This window comes from Homo sapiens, chromosome 2, assembly GCF_000001405.40.
Source record: "Homo sapiens chromosome 2, GRCh38.p14 Primary Assembly".
In the NCBI taxonomy this organism is placed as follows: domain Eukaryota; kingdom Metazoa; phylum Chordata; class Mammalia; order Primates; family Hominidae; genus Homo; species Homo sapiens.
The window spans coordinates 174,521,223-174,540,428 of record NC_000002.12 but is presented as its reverse complement, the minus strand read 5'-3'; the positions used below and the strand labels follow the sequence as shown (position 1 = coordinate 174,540,428).

At 42.6% G+C, this 19,206-nt stretch overlaps 2 long non-coding RNA genes across 2 annotated transcripts in view; one reads left to right on the top strand and one right to left on the bottom strand.

The window, feature by feature from the left end:
* Nucleotides 1-17,012, bottom strand: part of LOC124906096 (uncharacterized) — a 26,663-nt gene extending 9,651 nt beyond the window's left edge. Inside the window, exon 1 of the long non-coding RNA XR_007087308.1 lies at nt 16,756-17,012. This is a non-coding gene — a long non-coding RNA (uncharacterized LOC124906096). The remainder of the gene's footprint in view (nt 1-16,755) is intronic.
* Nucleotides 1-19,206, top strand: part of LOC124906097 (uncharacterized) — a 26,801-nt gene extending 7,595 nt beyond the window's left edge. Inside the window, exons 2-3 of the long non-coding RNA XR_007087309.1 lie at nt 4,985-5,153; nt 17,433-19,206. This is a non-coding gene — a long non-coding RNA (uncharacterized LOC124906097). The remainder of the gene's footprint in view (nt 1-4,984; nt 5,154-17,432) is intronic.

Genomic DNA, 19,206 nt, shown 5'->3' with positions numbered 1-19,206 from the left:
GAGTGCAATGGTACGATCTCAGCTCACAGCATCCTCCGCCTCCCAGGTTCAAGTGATTCTCCTGCCTCAGCCTCCCAAGTAGCTGGGATTACAGGCATGTGCCACTGCGCCCGGCTAATTTTGTATTTTTAGTAGAGGTGGGGTTTCACCGTGTTGCCCAGGCTGATCTCCAACTCCTGACCTCAGGTGATCCGCCTGCCTCTGCCTCCCAAAGTCCTGGGATTACAAGTGTGAGCCACTGCGCCTGGCCTAAGCATAACTTTTTAGACAAAAATAAAAAAATCTAGTAATATTTTACTACTTGGTGCTGTTAAAGTTGGTGTCTGAAGCCCTGCAATCATTTATTCACTTTCAGTACATCCTTTGTTCCTTTTGAAAAGGTGTAAGTCAGTGCACTTAGAATCAGGAAACTTAATTTTTAGATTTTGTTTGCCTGCTATAAATGACAGCAAACTCAAAAACCAAACCTCTTAACAGTAGTGAGCCAGTTTTGTTTCAACATGACTTCAGTATCCCAGCCCTATTAAAAAATGCAAAATGCATACACACACCGCAAACAGCATAGACAGACATTATTTAAACGTTTTTTAAAATGTGAGTAATGAAGATGTCCTCCAAGCTCCAGAATGCTTGTGAAAGATCCCTGAGCACGGCCCCACTAAGGCATCTCTACAAAGGCACAAAGCTGTAGAGACATTTGGGCATTTTACTGACTACATCCAAGGGTTTCCTAGACTTCCACTTTGGTCATTTTGAAACTAGCTCAAGAAACTAGCTTGATTCTCACTTCTACCAGGATGAGAGAGAGACAAGAGCTGAGGGAAATGTGGGATGGGAATAGGCTGGCAAGAACCATAAGGGACTGAGGGAAATAATTATTATTTTTGGAAGCTTTCTACCTCTGTGATCTTCTTAGTCTCTGGCCCCTCCCTCTTCCTCCCCACCTAGGCTCACGGTGCTCTCCTGTCCTCTGGCCTCCCTGAGCCTTTCTCTAAATGTTAAATGCTCCCAAATTCTTTTGATTCCCCAAACTCTCTTCCGCCAAAACTCTAATTCTCATTTTCTCAGCGTGCTGATCTAATCTAGTAGTTAGGAAATAAATCTGATTAACCGGCTTCTAATAGACCCTCTCAGCAGCCAGTTCACAGTCCTCAGGCCTATTATCCTCATATTTTCTCTCATCAGAATGCTCAGAGAGGCCGGGCGTGGTGGCGCACACTTGTAATCCCAGCACTTTGGGAGGCCAAGGCAGGCGAATCACTTGAACTCAAGAGTTCAAGACCAGCCTAGCCAATATGGTGAAAACCTGTCTCTACTAAAAATACAAAAAATTAGCCAGGCATGGTGGCTCCTTCCTGCAGTCCCAGCTACTTAGGGGGCTAAGGCGGAAGAATTGCTTGAATCTGGGAGGTGGAGGTTGCAGTGAGCTGAGATTGTGCCACTGCACTCCAGCCTCGGCAACAGAGTGACTCCGTCTCAAAAAAATCAAGCAAACAAACAAAAAAACCCAGAATGCTCAGAGGTTGCATCTTAGAGAGGTAGGGGTTCCCATGCTTTCAATAACTGGAACAAAAGAGAGAATATAGAGAAGAAAAAAAGGTTTCAAGTGTTTCTGGTCATTATGATTTACTTTCACATAAAAAGAAATTACTAATTAAAGGTCTACCTCGGGCTAGGAACGGTGGCTCATGCCTGTAATCCCAGCACTTTGGGAGGCCAAGGCGGGCAAATCACCTGAGGTCAGGAGTTCCAGACCAGCCTTGCCAACATTGCAAAACCCTGTCTGTACTAAAAAATACAAAAATTAGCCAGGCATGGTGGCGTGTGCCTATAGTCCCAGCTACTCGGGAGGGTGAGGCAGGAGAATCACTGGAACCCAGGAGGCAGAGGTTGCAGAGAGCCGAGATCGCAGAATTGCACTCCAGCCTGGGCAATGGAGTGAGACTCCATCTCAAAAAAAAAAAAAAAAAGAAAAGAAAAGAAAAAAGTAAGGTCTCCCTCATGAAAGTGTTTGGGAATGAGAGCAGCTCAGATTACTTGAGCAAGGCACTTGGTAGGCTTTGATCTTCCCTACCTTGATGAAAATTTTCTCACAGAAAAGAAATCAGGACTCAGGCTTTATGAAGTATGCCACAATGTCCGTGTGGTTTTGATAGTGGCACAGAAGTATCTTCCCTTCTGGGAAGTCAAGGCAGCTCATGGCTTCCCTGCACTACTCTTTATGCACCTCACTGAGATAATATGGACATATTTTTCACTATCAGACTTTCAGGCAGGAATATATTTTAGAATAGCGTATATTTTATGTATTTTAGAATAATAAATCAAACCTTACTGGTCATCAGAATCACGTGGGGACTTTTAAAAAATAAGCATTTTCACTCATCTTACCCAGCCCTACTGAATCAGATTCTTAGCCAGAGAGAAAGGGCTGTAAGGGGCTGGGGTAGGAATGTTTTAAGATTCTCCACGTAATTTTAGTGATCAGTCAGGTTTGGAGCCACCGTTGAAGATACAAAGGGGCCTCCCAATACCTAAGACACCTGCTCAGAACCATAAAGAGAAGGGGAGACAAGCCTTTGGGAGCCCCAGCCTGCTCCTTCCATATCCCCCCAGTCCTGCTCCTCACCTCCCCGCAAAGAGAAGGGGAGACAAGCCTCTGGGAACCCCACCCTGCTCCTTCCCCACTTGCTCTCCCCTTCCCCCACCCCACCCCCCCAGCACAATGTTCTGTTCTCAGACCCCTGTAATCTGAGCCACCCAATTCAGATATTATAATTCCATGAAAGCAGGCAATTCCTCTTATGAAGAAAAAAAGAAAAGAAAATATACTTATTAGAACCCTAAGTATTGAGCTTCACAAATAGCTATTTCATTTCCTAGTCACAATGTCTTTGTAAGCTCAGTATCAGCACCGTTTGTAGCTGAAGAAACGGGCTGAGAGGGAAATTTTTCAAGGCTCTCTAAGTTAGTCCCAGAGGGATTGGGGATCCAGTGGGGCAGGGTAAATTATTGATGTGGTAATTTGTGCCCTGTTCTTATTTCTATTGGAGACATATTTGATAGAAGAAGAGGGTGCTTTCTCCCTGCGCTTCCTCTCTGGAAAGAAAACTAGCCTTTTGCTCTGAGGTTTCAGACTCTCGTATGCTCAAGTGAATGAGCTCTCAGAACTTCTGTGTGTTTTATAAGCTGTCCTGGAAAAAGTTCAACCAGGACTTTTGAAAGTTCTTGGCTTGGCCGGGCGCAATGGCTCACGCCTGTAATCCCAACACTTTGGGAGGCTGAGGTGGGTGGATCATGAGGTCAGGAGTTCAAGACCAGCCTGACCAATATGGTGAAACCCTGTCTCTACTAAAAATACAAAAATTAGCCAGGCGTGGTGGCGTTCGCCTATAGTCCCAGCTACTCAGGAGCCTGAAGCAGGAGAATCGCTTGAACCCGGGAGGCGGAGGTTGCAGTGAGCCAAGATCACGCCACTGCACTCCAGCCTCGGTGATAGAGTGAGACTCCATCTCAAAAAAAAAAAAAAAAGAAAGTTCTTGGCTCTTCAGGAAAGAAATGGAATTATCCAGAAAGGAAAGCAATGGAAGCCACTGTTTCACAGGAGAGACAGATACGCTGCTCCTCAAAGAAGAGGGGATCCCAGAGGCAGGAAAAAGGGGTGCACATCTCTTGCACCCAAGTGTGTGGAGCAATTCAGAGTTTTCCGCTCCACCACAGCTGCAAAAGGGCGAGGAATGTGCCACCCTCAGCCAAACCTCAGCAGTTGTCCCATCTTCAAACCTGACTCATGGGGAACTGAGAGAAAAGGAACTGACATTCACTGCACACCTGTAAGTTTCCAAGAACACTTTCCCCTGGGGCCCAGGGCGTCCTGAGAGCCCTCCCAGTGGTGTGTCAGAGCAGATGGCGGCCCTACCCAGTCTGGTTTTTCTCCTCATTTCCATCCCCCACTGCTGGCTGCACCAAGGTTTATATCTGTGTCCAGAGCCCTGGGGGGCCATGCTGGGAGATCTTAGCTATCTGCTCCTTGTGGCCATCTGCTCACCAGTTCCTGGCCTGTAATGCATCTTGTTTTTTATCAAAATAACAAACAGGATGAGTAAAAGAAACCAAACATGAAAGAGCACAAACTGTATGTTCCATTTATATGAAATTCAAAAACAGACTACACTCGCCTGTAGAGGTTCATACGCTAGTTACCTTTGGCCGGGTCTTCTATGAGACTGGAAACTCTCTATTTCTTGATCTACATGGTGATTACACAGGTGTATACATATGTAAGAATTCTTTGAGCTGCAAACTTAATATTTGCGCAGTTACTGTTATGTGAATGTTACCTCCACAAAAATAAATACATCATAAAAGCAAACAAGCCAATAAACAAACACAGACACAATAACCTATAATGACTTGCTAGCTGCAGCTTGCCTGTTACTGGGGCCACTTATCCCAGCCTGCTGACTCAATCCCATCCCAATTCATAAAATGAATCTGGCTCCCTACCCCGAGAACTGCACAGGAAATTTAAAAAGCTAGAGAAGAGCATTCAGCCCCATAGTCCTCGCCCACAGGGTGCTCTGTGGCACGGTGTTTATATGCAAAGATGACAGAGCCCGGCTGCCTAGGTTCAAATCCCTGTTCTGCCACTTAATGGTTATAACCTTAAGCAGCTTACTTAAATTCTCTATTCCTCAGTTTCCTGATCTGTGTAATAGGCTTAATGATCAGGATTATACCAGATTAATCCATGTAAATTTACTCAGGAAATATCCAGTAGTATTACATGCCAAGCCTATTGTAAGAACTTTATCAATATGATCTCCTTAATCCTTGCAGCAACGCTCTGACAGATGGTGTTATCCTGATTTTGCAAGTGAAGAAACGGAAGCTCAATGAGACTAAACTTGCCTAAGGTTACGTAGTTGTCAAGGGGCAAAATCAGGATTTGAAATGAGGTCTGTCTTTTCTCTTTCTGTTAAAGGGCTTCTTTGATGCCAACCCAGACCCTCCCAACCTCTGCCTCCTCCTGGACTGGCCTGGTGCTGACCCACCATCCATCTGCATGTCTCCCACTGCCTGCCATTGCAGCAGGACCACGTGGCCCACCCTTCTGAGATGTTCCAGTCCTTCGCATTCTGTCTGAGCCCCAGGTACAGAACAACCAGTCTAAATAATGAGCAGTGATTAGCTTAAGATAGTGAGCTGAGCTCATAAGATCCTATCTCCTTCCACCCAATTTTTTTTACAATAACAAGGGGGAGTGTGTTGTTTTTAAAGATGAGATCCACTCAGCACTGGAAAATAGGAAAGGGCGCCCCTTATCAGAACATTTTTGAAATATCTGGTAGATAGAAGTTATATAAAATTAACATTGACAAGAGTGGGAAAAGAAAACCTCACACATCCAAAATTGGCTGCATGTTCTGAGCTCCCAGGGATTGAGGGGGAAAAAAAAAAGAACAAAATTGGCTGCAAAAAATGAACCAAATAAATAATTAAAATAATGGAAAGATAACAAATCCAGACAGATTCCAAACTCAGAAGGACAATTACAATAATCAAGAATCCAGAAGAAGGCTCTGGACCAACCAACAGTATAATTTATTAAAGAGCTGTAGCCAGCACATGGGGCCCATGGCCTTCCCCCACTCCTAAGCTGGCTGAAAGAAAACATCAGTAGTGTCTGGCCTGGGGAGTGTTGTTGGGGTGCCAAGTGGGGCTTGGGAGGCGCATGCACAAGAGGAAGTGTTAGGAGGAGGCCAAGCAGCCCTACAACCAAAAAATGCGCAGGGTCCGCCACCAGTGTGAAACCTGCCTTTCTTCAGCATCATGGCAGGGAAGTCCTGCCCATGTGTGGTGTATTGGTTTTCTATCACCGCCATAATAAATTACCACAAACTTGGTGGCTTAAAACAACACAGATTTGCTATTTTATTGTTCTGTAGGTCAGAAGTCTGCCATAGGTCCCTCAGGGCTACAACCAAGGTGCCCTCAGGCCACAGGGTACATCCCTTCCTGGAGACTCTAGGGGAGGCTTTTCTGGCTGCTAGTGTCCACCCATGTTTCTTAGCTCCTGGCCCTCTTCTTCCACCTTCAAAGCCAGCAGTGTCGCACCTCTCTGACCCTTCTTTCACAGTCATCTCTTCCTCTGGCCATAGCTGGGAAAGAGTCTCTGTTTTTAAGGAATCATATGGGTGGGCCCACCTGGATAATTTAGGATCATCTCTTCATGTTTTTTTTTTTTTTTTTTCTTAAGAGGGAGTCTCGCTCTGTCACCCAGGCTGGAGTGCAGTGGTGCAATCTCGGCTCACTGCAGGCTCCGCCTCCTGGGTTCACGCCATTCTCCTGCCTCAGCCTCCCGAGTAGCTGGGACTACAGGCACCTGCCACCATGCCTGGCTATTTTTTTTTGTATTTTTAGTAGAGATGGGGTTTCACCGTGTTAACCAGGATGGTCTCGATCTCCTGACCTCGTGATCCGCCCGCCTCGGCCTCCCAAAGTGCTGGGATTACAGGCGTGAGCCACCGTGCCCCGCCCATCTCTTCATGTTAAGTGCCTTAATTTAATCAAATCTGTAAAGTCCCTTTTGCCACATAAGAGAACATGTGCACAGATTGTGGGGATTCAGGGCCATTATTCTGCCCCTACGTGTGGTCATTGGCTGCCTGGCAGATGACCTGCAGCCTGGTTTGGCAGCTGGAGCCGTGGCTGCTCCCCTCAGGACCTGAATCTGAGGTGATATCAGCCAAGGCAACAATGACTTGACCAGACTGTGGCCTCCTTGGTTCCTGCTGGTTTTCCAAGCCTGATTCTCGGCCTTCTGGTTAATTTCATGAGCTACCTAAAGCCTGCCAATAAATTATTTCTTGCATAAATTACCCAGAGCCAGTATATGTTACTTATAATCAAGAATGTTGACTGAGAGGCTGGGCATGTGGCTTACGTCTGTAATCCCAGCACTTTGGGAGGCTGAGGTGGGAGGATGACTTTAGCCCAGGAGTTCCAGACCAGACTGGGCAATATAGTGACACCCTATATCTACAAAAAAAAAAAAAAAAAATGTTTTTAATTATCCAGGTGTGGTAGAGCATGCTAGAAACTCACTAAATATTTGTTGAATGAATGAAAGATCAGTGGAACCTATACAATAGAAAATAAAATTAGTGATCTGAATAATAAAGGTAAGAAACTTTCAAAATTGAAATTAGGCCAGGCATGGTGGCTCACGCCTGTAATCCCAACATTTTGAGAGGCCAAGGTGTATTTTTATATTTTGTAAAAATACAAAAAAATTAGCTGGGTGTAGTGGCAGGCACCTGTAATCCCAGCTACTTGGGAGACTGTGGCAGGAGAATCGCTTGAACCCGGGAGGTGGAGGTTGCAGTGAGCCGAGATCGCACCATTGCACTCCAGCCTGAACAACAAGAGCAAAACTCCGTCTCAAAAAAACAAAAAAGAAAAGAAAGAAATTAAAAGGACAAAGTAAATGGGAGACATAAGAAATAACTTAAGCAGGCCAGGCGCGGTGGCTCTGCCTGTAATCCCAGCACTTTGGGAGGCCGAGGCGGGCGGATCACGAGGTCAGGAGATCGAGACCATCCTGGCTAACACAGTGAAACCCCATCTCTACTAAAAACACAAAAAATTAACCGGGCGTGGCGGCGGGCGCCTATAGTCCCAGCTACTTGGGAGGCTGAGGCAGGAGAATGGCGTGAACCCGGGAGGCGGAGTTTGCAGTGAGCCGAGATTTCGCCACTGCACTCCAGCCTGGGCAACAGAGGAAGACTCTGTCTCAAAAAAAAAAAAAAAGAAAGAAAGAACTTAAGCAGTATGCGGAATTAATCCAGGTGATTGAAAATCCATTTAACAGGAGTTCCAGAACGAAAGTAAAGAAGCAATGGATAGTGAAATCATCAAGGAAAAAATTAAATAAAACTTACCAGAGCTGAAGAAAGCACACTTTTAGATGAAAGGGGCCCACTGGCAAGTACTAGTAACATTTAAGAAACCCACAGATAAAGAAAATCGTTCTGAAAAATTCCACATAAATAAACAATGAGCAGATTGGCATCAGACTTTCTCACCAACAATCCTGGCTGCTGAAGACGCCAAAACATTATCTTCACAATTCTGAGAGGAAAACAGGTCTTGAATTGGAAGTCTATATGGAGGTAAACTTACAATCAAATGTGAAAACATGTTTGAACATACAAGGACTCAGAAGTTTTGCCACAAACACACTATCTCCAAAATAATTACAAAATGAGCTATAACAAAACAATAATGACAAAAAGTACTCCAAAGAAAAATATAATGTGGGATACAAGTAAAAGGGTAAGTGCCCCCTGCCCCACCCCGCCCCCCCAAAAAAACTGTAAAACTTATACTTAACTAAGAATAAAACTAATCTGGTAAAAGTGCTTACCCTGTAGAAGTAGCAGTGGAGGAAGGAGGAAGTCAGAGAGTGTAAATTTCTTGTTTAATAGGAAAATATTGAAGGGTGGCAGAATATGCCACCCAAAAAATGCCACTTTGGCCTAAAGATTATTTTTAAGCTGAAGGCACTTGAAAAATAGCAGATGAAAAATGCACATTCTCATCTCCCTTTTTCTTCCTGGAAACAGGAAATAAAAACTCCCATATGAAAGATGTCCTCCTTGTACCAGGAGAAAGGAAACATTCTTCAACAAGGAGTCATAGCCAAGAGAATCCTGTACAAACAGCCTTTGTTAAAATAGTTCCTATCTTCCTGTAGCCTCCCCACATAACTTGGTTAATTTTCTTCTTCTTTTTTTTTTTTTTTTGAGATGGAGTCTCGCTCTGTCACCCAGGCTGGAGTGCAGTGGCATGATCTCGGCTCACTGCAAACTCTGCCTCCCGGGTTCAAGCCATTCTCCTGCCTCAGCCTCCTGAGTAGTTGGGATTACAGGCGTGTGCCATGATGCCTGGCTAATTTTTTGTATTTTTAGTAGAAAAGGGGTTTCACCATGTTAGCCAGGCTGGTCTCCAACTCCTGACTTCAGGTGATCTGCCCTCCTCGGCCTCCCAAAGTGCTGGGATTACAGGCATGAGCCACCGCTACCGGCTGACTTGGTTACTTTTCTTCGTTTGCTTCTCTAGTATGTAGATTTAGCACTTCTTTGGTCCTTTGTTTCCATGAAGGTCCTCATGTCATGTAAAATTTATATAAATTTGTATACTTTTCCCCTGTTAATCTGTTCTATGTCAATTTAATTTTCAGGCCCAACTGAAAGCTCTAAAAGGGTAGAAGTCAAATTTTGCCTCCCCTACAATATAAAGATAGATTAATTCTAGGTGCTCATAGAAACCATATATAATCGTGGGAGTAAACATTTTAAGTTAACCATGTAAATAATTGAAATAGAATACATAACTCTGGCCGGGCGTGGTGGCTCACACCTGTAATCCCAGCACTTTAGGAGGCTGAGGCGGGTGGATCACTTGAGGTCAGGAGTTCGAGACCAGCCTGACCAACATGGTGAAACCCCGTCTCTACTAAAAATACAAAAATTAGTAGGGCATGTTGGTGGGTGCTTGTAATCCCAGCTACTCGGGAAGCTGAGGCAGGAGAATCGCTTGAACCTGGGAGGCAGAGGTTGCAGTGAGCTGAGATAGCGCCACTGCACTCCAGCCTGGCAACAGAGTGAGACTTTGTCTGAAAAAAAAAAAAATAGAATACGTAACTCTGCCAACCCTTGAAGGAAAACAAATGGAACAAAGAAAACTTGATCAATCTAATGAAAGAGGAATGAGAAAAAAGAAACAGCAAAAAAGCAACATGGAAAGAAAGCACGTATCAACATAACAGAAATATATTTAAGCATACTACTACCAATAAATGTGAATGAATTTAAAACCATGAATGCCTGGATTAAAACCACGAATTAAAAATCACAAATGCTAGAGTCTCTGGAAAATAGGAAAGGGTGTCCATTATCAGAACATTTTTCAAATGTCTGGTAGATAGACGTTAAATAAGATCAACAACATTGACAGTGGGGAAAAAATAAAAACCCACACATCCAAAATTGGCTGCATGTTCTGTGCTCCTTTATTTAAAAATTTAGTCCTGATTTGGGTTACAAAGACTGCAGTTACAGTAGGCTCTTTTATCTGCAGCAATTCTGCAGTTTCAGTTACCCATGGTCAACCATGGTCCAAAAATGTTAAATGGAAAATTCAGAAATAAACAAGTCTTAAGTTTTCAGTTGTGAGCCGTTCTGAGTAGCATGATGAAATCCCACATTGCCCTGCTCAGCCCTGCCTGGGGCATGAACCACCCCTCTGTCCCAGCGTATCCATGCTGGAGACACCAGCCATCCGTTAGTCACTTGGCCTTCTCAGTTATCGGATTGACTGTCATGGTATCACAGTGCTTGTGTCCAAGTAACCCTTATTTTACAAGACTAGTCATGCTGGTAATTTGGATATGCCAAAGAGAAGCTGTAAAGTGCTTCCTTTAAGTGAAAAGGTGAAAGTTCTCAACTTAAGGGAAGAAAAAAACATCGTATGCTGAGGTTGTTAAGATCTACTTTAAGAATGAATTTTCTATCCCTGAAATTAAGAAGAAAGAAAAAGAAATTTGTGCTAATTTTGCTGGTGCACCTCAAACTGCAAAAGTCTCAGCCACGGTGTATGCTAAGTGTTTAGTTAAGATGGAAATGGCATTAAGTTTGTGGGTGGAAGACAAGGAAAGAAATGTGTTCTGACTGATGGCAATCGGGTTTGATACTACCCGAGGCTTCAGCATCCACTTGGGGGCCTTGGAACTATTCCCCTCTGCTAAGTGGGGACTACTGTGTATGCTGTTTACAAAACAGATACCTAAAATATTAACAGAAAAGAAGGCTATTTCCAAATGATAAAAGTCACAATTCACTAACAAGACACGAGAGCCAAGAACTTTTATTCACTCAATATAGAACTTCAAAATTCAGAAAACAAAGATGTTAGAAATACAAGAAGAAATTAAAATCAATCTATTATAATGGGGGAAAACCGTAATCCATCTATTTCAGAAATTGATAGACAAAAGAAGTCATCAAGCGTATTTGAGCAGTGCATTTAACCACCTTGAACAACTTTGTATAGACGGCAGGAACCTTACTTGCGCAAAATCCAACTATGTTCACCTTACTCCACCTCCAGGCAGCAATGGACACATTTGGCACTGCGCTCTGGAGATTCTATGCTCTCCTAACTTTCCTGCTACTTTATGGGTCCAGCGTGGCCAGTCTGCTTTGCTGATGCCTCCTCCTGTTTGTGACCTCCTAGTGTTGAGATAGCCCAGGACGCAGTCTTCCCTTTCTCCTTCCTCTCCTCTCTCTACACTGCCTTCCTAGGGGATCTCACTAGTCCTCAGTACTTTTTTTTTTTTTTGTATATGGAGTCTCACTCTGTCGCCCAGGCTGGAGTGCAGTGGTGCAATCTTGGCTCACTGCAACCTCCGCCTCCCAGGTTCAAGTGATTCTCTTGCCTCAGCTGCTGAGTAGCTGGGACTGCAGGCACGCACAACTATGCCTGTCTGATTTTTGTATTTTTATTAGAGACAGGGTTTCACCATATTGGCCAGGCTGGTCTCGAACTCCTGACCTCATGATCTGCCTGCCTTCCTCGGCCTCCCAAAGTGCTGGGATTACAGGCATGAGCCACCATGCCCATCCAGTCCTCAGTCTTTAAGTGCCATTCCATGTTTATGACTCCCAGATTTATTCCTCCCATCCTGAACTCACCCAAGCTTCAGATTCCTTTATCCAAATCCACATGAATATCTGATAAGCATCTCAAATTTAACATATCTTAAACTAAACTCTCAGCTTCACTACGTACATCCTGAAGTTTTTGGTTGTTGTCTCAGATTCTTTTTTATTATGGTAAAATACATGGAACAGAACATTGACCATTGTAACCATTTTAAAGTGTACAATTCCATGGCACTTGTACATTCACAGTGCTGTTCAACCAGCTCCACTATCTAGGTCCAGGACTTTTTCATCACCCCTAATGGGAACTCCATATTTATTAATCAATCATTCCCAGTTACTCTTTCACTGACGTGAACCCCTGGCTTTTTTTTTTATCTCTATAGATTTGCCTATTTTGGATATTTCATATAAATGGAATCATACAACATGGGGTGTTTTGTGTGTGGTTTTTGTCACTTAGTATGATGCTTTCAAGGTTCATTAATGTGGTAGCACGTATCAGTATGTTGTCATTCCTTTTCATAGATGAATAATATTCCACTGTATGGATATACCACATTTTGTTTATCCATTTGTCTGCTGATGGACACACTGGGTTGTTTCCGTCAATACATACCAAAGTTTTTCTTCCCATTGCACCCCAGCCCCAACTCCCCTCCTCCCCAGTCATCTCTATCTCAGCTGGTGGCACCACAACTGACCCAGGTACTAGGCTCAAAACTTAGGAGTCACCTTTGATTCCTCTCTTTCCCTTGGCCCCACCCCACTTCTGACATCCAAACAATCAGCACATCTCGTTATATCACCCAGATACAGACTAAGCTTGGTCACATTTTACCACTTCCCCAGCTACCACCTAGTCCATGCTACTGTCACCGTGGCCGCAACTCAGTCTTTTTGCTTCTTTTGTCCCCTTCCAATTCATTTCCCCACAGCACAAAATTATCTCTTAACGTAAATCAGATCATGCCACAGCAGGACTGAGGAGCCTCTGATGCTTTCCCATTACACTGAAACAAAGCCTAAACATCATGCTATGGTCAATAAGGCCAGTGTGATATGGCCCCTGCCTACCTACCTCTCTGAGCATCTCCCACACTCTCCAGCCACCCTGGCCTCCCTCTGACCCTTTCCCACATACTCCCTGAGCTTCTGCCTGGGACACATGCCTTCCCCTCAGACCACGTGGCTCCCTCCTTCTCAACATGCAGAGAAGCCTTCCCTGACTCTCGGATCTGAAATACAGCCCTCACCCCAGTCTCCCTCTATCCTCTTAAACTGATGGGTTTTTCCCTCACACAACTTACACAACCATGTGAAACTATATTATTTTTGTCTCTTTATTATCTGTCTTCCCCTACAAGAATGTAAGCTCCAAGAAAGTAGGTTACTTTGCCTTCGGCCAAATCCCTGGGGCCTAGAACAGTACCTAGCATGTACAGAGGCATTCAATAAACCCTTGTTGCTTGAATAATAAATACAATGCATTATACACACACATAGAAAGAGGACTTTGTGCCCAATAAACAAAATATCCATTCTTTGCAAACATCTTTGAACATTTACATGAATAGACCACAGAACACTTTTCAATCAAGTTGGTGAGACTATAAATTAGTATAAGCTTTCTAAGGAATAATTTGATAACATTTATCCAATTTTCAAATGCAAATATCCTTTGAACCAACACCATTTATTGAAAAGCCCTTCCTTTCCACACTGAATTTCATTGGCATATTTGTGATAAATTAAGTAATCCTCTGTGTACGGGTCTATGCCTGGACTCTATTCCATTCTGTTTATCTACTGTCTATTAGATCACTTTCAATGATGATATAAAGGCTCATATGGACCTGAAAAAGGTTTCTTTCCACAGCATTATTTTTTTCTACTAGTCTATGTTGTGGAGCTGGTTACTCTATACAATAATACATTTAGTAAAGATTTAATACTACGGTAATATAGAAAATGTTTTTGGTTTTGAATTTTTGTAAATTAAGGGAACTACCACTTTGCCTTTTTTTTTTTATTTTTTATTTTTTTGAGACAGAGTCTTGCTCTGTCACCCAGGCTGGAGTGCAGTGGCGTGATCTCTGCTCACTACAACCTCCACCTCCCGGGTTCAAGTGATTCTCCTGCCTCAGCCTCCTGAGTAGCTGGGGTTACAGGTGCCTGCCACCACACCCTGCTAATTTTTGTATTTTTAGTAGAGACGGGGTTTCACCATGTTGGTAAGGCTGGTGTCGAACTCCTGACCTCATGACCCACCTGCCTCAGCCTCCCAAAGTGCTGGGATTACAGGCGTGAGCCACCATGCCCGGCCCCCCTTTGCCTTTTACACTGATATCAAATATTCCTTCCCCCTTCCAAAGTTTCCTTAAGGGCATCTAAACAATACATGTTGCAAATAATACTGAAAAGGTACCATGTTGTGAATAGTGCTCAGGTATCCTAAATAAAACATCTTGTAAAACCAACACTTAGTTTGAGAAGTCACAATGCTGAAGCAACTGGTATCTCTGTGGAGATGTAACTAGGACAAGACCTTAAACTTTTTTTTGTGTTGAAGACTCTAGCAGAATAGACTTTTATTTGTCCATTATGCAAATAGGAAAAAGGAGAGAAAGCCAATCCTCTTTTTGATTTGACTGAGAAACCCTGTTAATGTTTATATCACTGGGAACATAGGCATCAACTACATTATCACCAAGGCAACAAACCAACAAGTAAGACTATGAGCCAGAATTACTAATGTTGTTGAAGGTCATGCTTACGCTATATGGCAACAATTTCTAAAATTTCTAGCATCTACAGGACTTCTTTGTTCAATAATAATTTCAATGATAAATTTACTTAAAACAGAAAAAGTGGGTAGAAGTTGGGAATATTTGTGCAAGACTTTATATCACACTGGAAATAAGACTGATGTCTTGTGAGAGTTCACATTTAACATCTTACCTCATCAGATTCTTTTACAAAGTTTTAAGCTATGAAACGATCTCTTTCTCTCCCTCTCTCTAGTTGCTATGGAGAAGAAATATCTTTTTCACCTCTTTATTAGACATTTTTTTAAATTATGAAGTTCTGTATTTTCAGAGCCAGACTCTGATATGTCATTAGTTAGCACTAAAAGCACAGTGTGACCTGTGAGTCTCAATTTTAGAAATGGGAAATGGGTTGTTAGGATTTAACTTGACAGCAGTGCAATTGGAACAATTTATCTTCCATGTTACAAAGAACAAGAGTCAGACTGACATTGGACTTCTCATCAGCAACACTGTGCTATGGTTTGAATGTGTCCCCTCCAAAATTCAGATGTTAGATTAAACCTTGTTGGTCAATGTGATACTCTTAAGAGGTGGGGTTTTTAAGAGGTGGTTAGACCATGAGGGCTTCTCCCTCACAAATGGGATGAAGGCCGTTATAAAACAGGCTTCAGGCAGCTTTCAGCTCTCTTGCCCTTCTGTCTTCTGCCATGAGAGGACACAGCGTTCCTTCCCACTGGAGGATGCAGCAATAAGAGTCATCTTGGAAACAGAGGACAGCCCTCACCAGACAACTGAACCTGCCAGCACCCTGACTGTGGACTTCCAGCCTTTAGAACTGTGAGAAAGTACATTTCTGTTCTTTATAAATTACCCAGTCTATGATATTTTGTTATAACAGCACAATCGGACTAAGACAAAAAGGTACTAAAACACAACGAGGAAATAGCTACTGTTATTGGTAACATGATTATGAACTGCAATAGTGTGGCCAGGCAAGCACAATTAAGTGTGAAGGTGGAATAAAGACACTTTTCCACACATGCAAGGACTTGAAGCAATTACCTCCCATGTGCCCATTTTTGGGAAATTGCTTAAAAATATTCTGCAGCAAAACAAGGAGAAAATGAAGAAAGGGGAAGACCAGTGATCCAGAAAACAGTGAAACAAACCCAAAAAACAGGAAAGGGAAGTTGCAATGTGACTTGCTATGAGGCAAGATGAAAGAGTAACCAGTAGAGATTGGAGGAGAAGGTGACGCCGCAGGAGGAAAGTCACCAGTGAAAAAAGTGTACATGGAGGAGGGGAATGGTTTTAAGTAATAAAATGAAGTAACTGAAAAAAGGTTGAATATATTATAAAGGCAAATGACACAAGAGGTGCAAAAAAAAAAAAAAAGGCAGCTAGAAATACCACAAGAAAAAAAAAAAACCATTGGCCAGAAGTGGTGGCTCACGTCTGTAATCCCAGCACTTTGGGAGGCCAAGGTGGGCAGATCACTTGAGGTCAGGAGTTTGAAACCATCCTGGCCAACATGGCGAAACCCCGTCTCTACTAAAAAAATTCAAAAATTAGCTGGGCATGATGGCGGGCACCTGTGGTCTCAGCTACTCAGGAGACTGAGGTGGGGGAACTGCTTGAACCCATGAGGTGGAGGTTGCAGTGAGCTGAGATTGTGCCACTGCACTGCAGTCTGGGCAACAGAGGGAGACTCCATCTCAAGAGAAAAGAAAAAACAAAACAAAACAAAAACATAATTTTTTAAAAAGGAAATGAAAGCATAATGTGCCCCCTTGCTTCCAATGTAAAGAGAGACCTGCTCTCTAGGAGTAAAAATTTAGTGTTGCAGTGTAATGGCTCATCAAATTGAATAAAGTCTGTGTAGATTAGGAAAGATCTTCAAAATTAGGCTCTGAGATGTGTACCCGTGGTCTGAGAAGCACCAGAGAGCCACAACTTGTTCTTAAGGAAGAGAATGAAAAGTTAAAGGCAGCATTTTAGGCAAGGTAGCCTGGCAGTAGGAGAGGAAGGAGGCCAAGTGGTATGTCTGTTGCCATTTTCCAGGTATGAGGTGGAGGAGTAAACCCACAATAGGGAAGGAAAAAACAAATCAGGAAGGCATTCCAAAGGAGGATGCTATAGGACCCAAGTACCAGGATTGGATAGAGGAGAGGGGATGGTTCCAAAGTTTTCTGGTCTGTGAACCAGGAAAATGGTGAAAGCTTTTATCTAGTATTGCTGTTTGATCATTGTACACATACTTTTCAGCCTCATTCTTGTCCTCCTCCTTCTTCTTTTCCTCTTCCTCTTCACAGGTTAATTTTAGGCTCCTTGAAGGCAGAGCCTAAAGCCTGAGTGTGTTTTATTGACAACCAGCTCTGAGGCCTACCACCATAGGCACTCAGCTGATGCGTGTGGTTGATGGTGGTGGTGGTGATGATGATGTCACAGTGCTTTATAGATGGGGAAAATGGGGAAGAGGAGTCATTTGGGGCATAATGATGATGGGGCCGGGTGCAGTGGCTCACACCTGTAATCCCAGCACTTTGGGAGGCTGAGGCAGGTGGAACACCTGAGGTCAGGAGTTCAAGACCAGCCTGGCCAACATGGTGAAACCCCGTCCCTACAAAAATACAAAAATTAGCCGGGCATGGTGGTGGGCACCTGTAATCCCAGCTACTCAGGAGGCTGAGGCGGGAGAATTGCTTAAACCCGGGAGGTGGAGGTTGCAGTGAGCCAAGATTGCGCAACTGCACTCCAGCCTGGGTGACAGAGCGAGACTCAGTCTCAAAAAATAATAATAATGATGATGATGATGATGGAAATCAAACTTAGTAAGATGCCAACTCCTACTGGGAGATGGAAAAAATACTTTTTGAAATAATTACTGCTACTTCTTGTTTAATGAAATTCCTTATTTTATGTTTCCTTTCTTTAGCATCCTTTACTTAATGCCATGTCTACCTATGTAGAATTAAAACCAAGCAGTATTGGGAGGTCTGAGCACAGTCAAGGAAACTCACTTCCAAATTCTTCTTTCAACATATGTTTTGGCTGAAAACAAATGCACTCATTTTTAGGAAGCAGAACTACTTAAGCAAGATCCAGCCTACGAGCATGGGTGTTCTACATCTTGTTTTGTTCCTATTTCTGAAGACCAAAAAAAAAAAGCATTATTTTCAAAGGAAGCACTAGGTGGCACTTGTGATGTATTCCACAGTTGCCTCCGATCCTTTTTGAAAAAGGTTTGATAGAAAAAAAAATGCAATAAATATTAAAATGGGAAAATCGTCATTACAATAATGAAGATCAGCATGATTGTGTTTACTATGTTACTATGTATGAGCAATATCTTTATGCAGTATTTGCATTTAAAATCTGAGCTTTGCTTTCTTGATAAAAACTGCAAGACGGGAACTGACATTTCTATAACATGTGAAAACCCCACATCGCTAAAATAATAAGTAAAAATGTAATGCCTGGTTTGCAAAAAGATTGACTATAAATCTTCTTTTAAATAGTTTCTGTCTTCCATTTAGAGTGTTTGAATTTGTAAAAACAGATAACAGAATAAATTTTTCAAGGTCCATCTATTGTGAAAAGCAAAATTTAAAAAATCATAACTTGAAATAAGGCACTGCAGCTTCCAGGTTTTGACTAATATTAACCAAAAAAAACAAAAGAAAGAGAAAGAAAGAGAGATGAAGATTAAAGCAGATATCTCAGGGTTTTTACCATCTTTAAAGTAATAACGTAAAGACTTTAAGCAAATGTATTCTTTTCTGTTATTCAGTTAGTTCCCATTTGGCAACTGCTTAATTATCTCATGGTCCCATTTCAATGTCGAGAGATTGCAAGCTTTTAACAGAAATTCAGGTTGAGAAGGAACTATGAAAAATAGAAAATATTGTTGCCAAATACCATGGCAACAACTGTAGCCTGCAGACCTTTTCACGATACTGCATCTTTCCCCTACCTATTGTCTAGCCTTGGCAGTAACCATTTTTATGGATTAGGTTCTCTTGTGGCTTCATCTCACTTTTCTACCTCTTATTCTTCCTTTGTTTCATTTTTGTTCCTTATTTTAAATGTTTTTTTTCTTGCCATACCTCTGTAGGATAATTTAACACAATGAAATCCTTTTGGAACAAGCTGGGTTATAAATAAATTAATAATAATGCTAATGTACTGTCTTGTAATTGCACTAATGTGTGGGTTTGGATGAAATTGACATTTTGAAGGTAGTATCTCATATAGTAGTAAACTCAGCATGTCAGAACTCAGAGCTAAATATGCAAAACAGCGACAGTGCTGAAAAAAATCTTGGATCTCGGTGTAATAGTTGAATGTCTTTGGATGCAAATGATGGAAATGGATTCTGACTAACAGAAGCAAAAAGAGACTTTTAACAGGGTGCTAGCTAGGAACTCAGGATAGATGGGAGGCTGGAGAGCCAAATCAGGACACAAGACAGGAATGAAGGCAATTCCTGGAGTCCAGGCAGCATGAACAACTGAAGGATCTTATCTGGGTGCTGCTCCTCCAGTATATGTGTTCCAATATTTTCCCATTCCTTATGCGCCTCCACTCAAGATGAAAAGTTCCAAGAGTACAGTCTGCTTGATGTTTGCTGGGCATTCACAGATTTATAGTACTAAAAATATGTGAGACCAGGTGCAGTGGCTCATGCCTGTAATCCCAGCACTTTGGGA